The following is an 8197-nucleotide window of genomic DNA, read 5'->3' as shown; positions in this document are numbered from 1 at the left end:
AAATTTCTGTTCAACTGGGTGCCCTTAGGCAAATTATGTAATATTTATGTCAAATAAGAAGAATATTAACATCTCAAGTTAGTTATGATAATTGAGATTATCCAATAAAACATTATCGAGCAGTTCTTATGTTCTAGACTTGGAATTAGGTACTGGTAGGAGGGTAAAAACATGAATTCATTCACATAATGTTTACTAAGTATCTACTATTAGCTCAACAAATAAAATAAAGCTCTTGCTTATGTTCTACTAAAGAATACAGGCAAAAAAAAAAAAAACCCACACCTAACTCAACAACTATGTATAATGCCAGGCATTAATAAGTGCTCTAAAGAAAAATAGAGTGGGATAAGGGGACAGAAAGTGAGGGAGGGTGAAGAGTAGGCCTGCTGGAAGGAGGGTGGCCAGGGAAGGACTGTTTGAGACATTAAGGAACTGGAATGAAGTAAAGGAGCAGGCCAGGTGGCCATCTGGTGGAAGAGCATCTCAGCAGAGGGGACAGGACATATGAATCCTTGCAGTGACAGCATGCTTGGCGTGTTCACAGAAAGGCAAGTCTGCCCCTGTGGTTGAAGCAGAGCAAGCAAGGGTGAGTGTGGCGGGGATGAGGTCAGAGAGGTGTGCGAGGACTAGACTGGGTGGGGCCTTGGAGACATTGAAAAAAGGTTCAGACTTTGTTCTGAGTGTTGTGGGAAGCCACTAGAGGATTTTGAGCAAGGGGTGACAAGATATGGTTTATATTTTCAAGGGATCACCCTGACTATTGCATGCAGAATGGACCTGAGAGGAGGGCAGACAAGAATATAAGCAGAAAGAGTTAGAACAGGTTACGCACGAGGTTGATAACTAAGGCTGGGGGGTTAGTGACAGAGATGCTGAGAAGCGGTTGGATTGGGGGATGTTTTGAAGATAAAATTAATGTAATTTTCTGATGAAGTAGGTATGAGAGAAGGAGACAAGTCAAAAAAACTCCAAGTTTGTTGCTCTGAGTAACTGGATGAATATAAGCCTCATTCACAATGAATGGGAAGGAAGAGGTTTAAGGGGAAAGGAAGTCAAAAGTACAGTTTTGTAAAGGCTGGGCTGAAAATGCCAAGTAGAGATGTCTGGTAGGTACCTAGGTAAGTGAGTGTGGAGCACTGGAGAGACACCAGAGCTGATCATATAAATTTAGGAGACATCATGGTATGGATGGCATTTAAAGCCATGACTAGATGACATCATCCAAGAGTTAGCATAGCTGGAGAAAAGAAGTGCAAAAATCAAGCCCTTTGAAAGTCCACTCTTTAGTATTTGAGTGGGGAGAAGGAGAAGAGAGAGATGAATAAGTCTCAACCTGAAGGAAGTCACCAGTGTGTGACCAGCACCATGTCTGGGACATATCAGATGAGCAATAAGCATTACATCTCTCTTATTTTTTAATTATTTATTTATTTATTTTGAGACAGAGTCTCGCTCTGTTGCCAGTCTGGAGTGCAGTGGCGCAATCTCGGCTCACTGCAACCTCCGCCTCCCAGGTTCAAGTGATTCTCCTGCCTCAGCTTCCTGAGTAGCTGGGACTACAGGTGCCCACCACCACACCCAGCTAATTTTTGTATTTTTAGTAGAGACGGGGTTTCATCATGTTGGGCAGGATGGTCTCGATCTCCTGATCTCGTGATCTGCCCACCTCAGCCTCCCAAAGTGTTGGGATCATAGGCATGAGCCACCATGCCCGGCCCCACATCTCTTTTTTTTAAACTTTTATTTTAAGTTCCAGGGTGCATGTGCAGGATGTGCAGGTTTGCTTTATAGGTAAATGTGTGCCATGGTGGTTTGCTGCACAGATCAACTCATCACCTAGGTATCAAGCCCAGCAGCATCCATTAGCTATTCTTCCTGATGCTCTCCCACCCCCTGCCCGCCCCCGACAGGCCCCAGTGTGTGTTGTTTCCCCCACAATGTGTCCTCATTGTTCAGCTCCCACTTATAAGTGAGAACATGTGGTGTTTAGTTTTCTGTTCCTGTGTTAGTTTGCCAATAATGGCTTCCAGCTCCATCTATGTCCCTGGAAAGGACATGATCTCATTCCTTTTTATGGCTGCATAGTATTCCATGGTGTACATGTACCACATTTTCTATATCCAGTCTATCATTGATGGCCATTTAGGTTGATTCATGACTTTGCTATTGTGGATAGTGCTGCGATGAACATATGTGTGCATGTATCTTTATAATAGAATGATTTATATTCCTTTGGTTATATACCCAGTAATGGGATTACTGGGTAAACTGGTATTTCTGCTGCTAGATCTTGAGGAATTGCCATGCTGTCTTCCACAATGATTGAATGAATTTGCACTCCCACCAACAGTTTAAAAGCATTCCTTTTTCTCTGCAACTTCACCAGCATCTGTTGTTTCTTGACTTTTTTTTTTTTTTTTTGAGGCAGAGATTTGCTCTTGTTGCCCAGGCTGGAGTTCAATGGTGCACTCTCAGCTCACCGCAATCTCTGCCTCCCAAGTTCAAGCAATTCTCCTGCCTTAGCCTCCTGAGTAGCTGGGATTACAGGCATGCACCACTATGCCCGGCTAATTTTGTATTTTTAGTAAAGATGGGGTTTCTCCATGTTGGCCAGGCTGGTCTCGAACTCCTGACCTCAGGTGATCCACCCACCTCAGCCTCCCAAAGGGCTGGGATTGCAGGCATGAGCCACTGCGCCCATCCTCTGATTTTTTAATAATTACAATTCTGACTGGCGTGAGATGGTATCTCATTGTGGTTTTGATTTGCATTTCCCTAATGATCAGTGATGTTGAGCTTTATTTCATATGTTTGTTGGTCGCATGAATGTCTTCTTTTGAGAAGTGGTTCATTTCCTTTGCCCACTTTTTAATGGGTTTGTTTTTTTCTTGTAAATTTAAGTTCCTTATAGATTTTGGGTATTAGACCTTTGTCAGATGGATAGATCGAAAAAATTTTCTCCCACTCTGTAGGTTGTCTCTTTGCTCTGAGGATAGCTTCTTTTGCTGTGCAGAAGCTCTTTAGTTGAGCTACATCTCATTTGTCAACTTTCACTTTTGTTACAATTGCTTTTGGCGTTTTTGTCATGAAATCTTTGCCCATGCCTATGTCCTGAATGATATTGCTTAGATTTTCTTCTAGGATTTTTATAGTTTTGGGTTTTACATTTAAGTCTTTAATCCATCTTGAGTTAATTTTTTATGTGGTGTAAGGAAGGGGTCCAGTTTCAATTTTCTGCATATATGGCTAGCCAGTTCTTCCAGCATCATTTATTAAATAGGGAATCCTTTCCCCATTGTTTTTTGTCAAGTTTGTTAAGATCAGCTGGTTGTAGGTGTGCAATCTTACTTCTGAGTTCTCTATTCTTTTCCATTGGTCTATGTGTCTGTTTTTGTACCAGTACCATGCTACATTGGTTACTGTAGCCTTGTAGCATAGTTTGAAGTCAGGTAGCATGATGCCTCCAGATTTGTTCTTTTTGCTTAGGATTGTCTTGGCTATACAGGCTCTTTACTGATTCCATATGAATTTTAAAGTGGTTTTTCCTAATTCTGAGAAGAATGCCCACGGTGGTTTAATGGGAATAGCATTGAATCTATAGATTACTTTGGGCAGTATGGCCATTTTCACAATGTTGATTCTTCCTCTCTCTGAGTATGGAATGTTTTTCCATTTGTTTGTGTCCTCTCTGATTTCCTTGAGCAGTGGTTTGTAGTTCTCCTTGAAGAGTGCCTTCCGTCCCTTGTTAGCTGTATTCCTAGGTATTTTATTCTCTCTGTAGCAATTGTGAATGGGAGTTCATTGATGATTTGGCTCTCTGCTTGCCTGTTATTGGTGTATAGGAATGCTGGTGATTTTTGCACATTGGTTTTGTATCCTGAGACTTGCTGAAGTTGCTTATCAGCACATTTCTTCTTTATTCTCAGTAGAGTCACTGGACATTAAGTAGAGGCAGATTACCATATGAATTACAGTAACAACAACATCTATGTCTCACCAAGGATATCTGTGCTTTGGGGAAAAGAAGCAACTGTGAAACAAAAAGTGAAAGTAGAAGATGAAACTGAGCATGAGTTTTGGAGTCACAAAAACTAGATTTGGTTAATTTCTTTAGGTCTCTAAACTCCACTTTCCTTCTCTATAAAATGGGGGTAGTAATAATAATAACCTGTTTTGCCAAACTTTTATAAAGCTCAATTGAGATGGTGTATATAAAAATATATACTATCTCATATACGTTATTTTATATACTATTGTGAAATTCAAGATGCCATATGTGTGTTAATGGGTAATTGCTCTAGCTATTATGTTTCTAAGGCATGTTGTGATTTTAAAACATGTCCCCAAATTCTTTAACAAAAGGGAGAGTCTAATCCTCCTCCCCTTGAATGTGGGGCAGACTTGGTGAATCATTTCTAATAAATATAATATAATGGACGTGATGCTGTTGCATTGTGAGTTCTGAGGCTAGGTTATAAAAAGGAAGGCTTCTGCTGATTTCTGTCTCTTGGATTTCATGACCTGGAGGAAGTCCATGCCGCCTTGTTTTAAGGGTGCTCAAAAAGTCCTATTATGAAAAAGCCTATGTGGAGAGAAACAAAGGCCTCATACTGACAACTAGCATCAATCTCAGCATTGACAGTGAATATTCCAGTCCCACTCAGCCTTCAGAGGATTGAAAATCTGGTTAACATCTTGACTGCAACCTTAGAGATCATGAGCCAGAATCAACCAGCCAACCATCTCTGAGTTTAGGACCCACATAAATTTTGAGAAATAATAAATGCCTATTGTTGTTTTAAGTCACCAGTTTTAGGGGTACTTTGTTACACAGCAATAGATAATTAATATACATGATCACATTAGTCAAAATCTTATTAAAGATTTACAGGTACTTCGAATTCCACCATTAAGAACTGATGCCTTTGACATCATCTAATATTACAATGTACTTTCCAGCAAGATCCCTCGAATCTGTTTTCTATGACTACTGTAAAAAATTACTACAAATTTAGTGGACTAAAACAACACAACTTTATTATCTTTATTATTTTACAGTTCAAGAGGTCGGATGTTCAAAATCAGTCTCAGTGTGCTAAAATCTAAATGACAGCAGAGTTGTGCTTCTTCCAAAGTATCTAGGGGAGGATTCATTTCTCTACCTCTTCCAGCTTGCAGGAATCATCTGCATTTTGTGGCCCCTGTCCCCTAAGTAATGCTGGAGTTCATCTTCTGTCCTCACTTCTCAGACTCATACCCCCTGATTCCCTCTTATCAGGACTCTTGTGATTATGTTGGGCCTGCTCCAATAATCCAGGATAATCTTCCCATCTCAAAGTCTTTAATTTAATCACATCCAGAAGTCGCTCTTGCAATGTAAGGTAGCATGTTCTAAATATTGGTTCTTGCCTTTTAAAAAACTTTTTGATGTAAGAAGTGTAAGACAAATGCATAAGTAACTATAGTAGAAGACAAAATGTAGTCAAGCTATCTCAACTGTACCACATTAAGTAGGAAGGAAAACATAAGGAAAAGACTCTCAGATAAAGATTAAGAAAAACGTCAAGAGGAAAGGATACGAAGGAAACAAAAATTATGTTAAGAATTCAAGCCCAGATAATTAAGTTAAATAAAGGAGTTGTCATCAACATAATTATGGAAGTCAGAATGGCAGCAAGGGATGGGGGGCTGTTCTCAGTTATATGATAGGTGAAGTCTGAGACATATTTTAGAATACCTAGTTCAAGATATCCAGCAGATAGTTGGAAATGAGATACGCATTTGCAGCTAAAAAGAAAAGCTGAGGTTGGATATAAGAACATAAAAGTCATTTGTATAGAGACAGAAGTTGATGCCTTGGAAGTAGATAAAACTGATGAAAAGCAAGAAGATTTAAGAGGACTAAAGAAATAACCTTTAAAAGACAGGTTAGAGAGGAACTCGTAAAGGAAAAAGGAATGGTCAGAGAAACCGGGAAATTAGTGCAATGAATATCACAAAACCTAAGGAGGAGTTTTAAAAGAAGAGATGGTTGGCACTATGAACAATTTCAAGTTACCAATGTGAGTAAAGAGGTGAAAAGAGATGTTCACTATTGTAGAATATTTCCACCATACAAAGGCAATAGGTGAAATACCCTCGAGAGCACACATTATGTAAAATAATTGTTATGAGTCTTGACAGTGTGTGTTACCTTTGATTTTAATAATATATTTCATTTTAAGCTTATATAATTTAATTTTTAATATGGCTGTGTTTAACAACAAGCTCAGATAATTTCTGAAAAAATAATGATTGACAATTATAAGCCAGAAAGAGCCTGCTCCAGCACATCAATGTTCTGGCTTAAAAATGCACAATTTCATCATTCTACTATGAAGACACATGCACACGTGTGTTTATTGTGGCACTATTCACAATAGCAAAGACTTGGAACCAACCCACATGCCATCAATGATAGACTAGACAAAGGAAATGTGGCACATATACACCATGGAATACCATGCAGCCGTAAAAAGGGATGAGTTCATGTCCTTTGCAGGGACATGGATGAAGCTGGAAACCATCATTCTCAGCAAACTAACACAAGAACAGGAAACCAAACACTGCATGTTCTCACTCCTAAGTGGGAGTTGAACAATAAGAACACATGGACACAGGGAGAGGAACATCATACACCAGGGCCTGTAGGCGGATGAGGGGTAAGGGGAGGGATAGCGTTAGGAGAAATACCTAACGTAGATGAAGGGTTGACGAGTGCAGCAAATCACCATGGCACATGTATGTCTATGTAACAAAACTGCATGTTCTGCACATGTTTCCCAGAACTTAAAGTATAATAAAAAAAAGAAAACACATCCACAATTTCTTCATTCATTCATATTGATTCCATGCCTGCTCTTTGCTGGGCCCTAAGCTAATTACAGAGAAGACAAATGTAAAAAAGAGACAAGCCCTTCACTTGAGGATCTCAGTTCAATGGAAGAGACATAACACTAGCAATATGTATAATGAGTGTTGCAATAGAAATCTATACAAGTCTGACAAGAGAACAAAAGAGGAAATAACCAATCTTCTGCATTAGGGGAACAAAAAGCCCATACTCCTTAGCACGAATTAGAAGGACCTATATGAGCTAGTCCTTCTTTACTTACCAGCCTCAGCTCCCATAACTCTATTTGTATCCAAGTGGTAGTGCAACATGATGATTAGGTGCACAAGCTATACAGTCATGTGCACCTGTGTTCAAATACAAGTTCTACTACTTATCCTTATTGAATGACTAAGTAATCTTCCTTTCTAAAACGAGACTAGTAATACCTACCTCACAAGGTTGTTGTAAAGATTGATGGAGATGATGTCAATAAAATATTTAGCAAATACTTGCTGCACAACTTGCAATAAATTGTAGCAGATGTTCTTATTTTATTTGTACCCCACTATGTTCCAGTGATAATGAAGTACTTGTAATTTTCAGAACACAGCATGATTCTCCAGGATCTGTGCCTTTGCCTGATGAATTCCTGCTTATTCTTCAAAATTTAATGCACACATCTGGTCTCCTCTGTCAAAAGCTAGATAGACTCTCCTCTGTGTCACTGCTACTCCAAGTAAATGCTATCTCATTGTGGCACTGATCACAGGATAACAGCAAACTGAGGATCTCTTGTGGATTGGGACCATGTGTTATTCCCCTTGTCATCCCTAGTGCTTGACATAATGTAGACACAAGATAATGTTCAATTAGTAGCATATTTAATAGGAAAAGATAAAAATGTAAGTGAAGAAGAAAAGGCTTAAGATTCTAAAGACTTAAAGTTTTTAAAATGTTCTTGCCATTTGATCCAGTAATTTCAACGTTAAGGAGTTTAGGAAACAATCCTAATTAGAGAAAATGTCCTAAATATAAAAGTTTTCTGCAGTTATTTATAATATCACAAACCATAAAAAATAAAAAAGCTACATATATGATAATAGAGACATAATTATCATAAAAATATGTGTGATACAACTACTTGACAAATTATAATGTAATCATTAAATATAATAGGTATAAAAAACATACAATGACAAGGGAACATGCCAATGACATAAAAAAGTAAAAAACAAGAAGAAAAAATTGAAAGTATTATCTAAATGCACACACAGACACACACATGCATGTGCATGTATGCACATAGAAACAGAACTGAAG

The sequence above is a fragment of the Homo sapiens genome, chromosome 11 (genome assembly GCF_000001405.40).
Source record: "Homo sapiens chromosome 11, GRCh38.p14 Primary Assembly".
Classification (NCBI taxonomy): domain Eukaryota; kingdom Metazoa; phylum Chordata; class Mammalia; order Primates; family Hominidae; genus Homo; species Homo sapiens.
Note: the sequence above shows the minus strand (reverse complement) of the source record.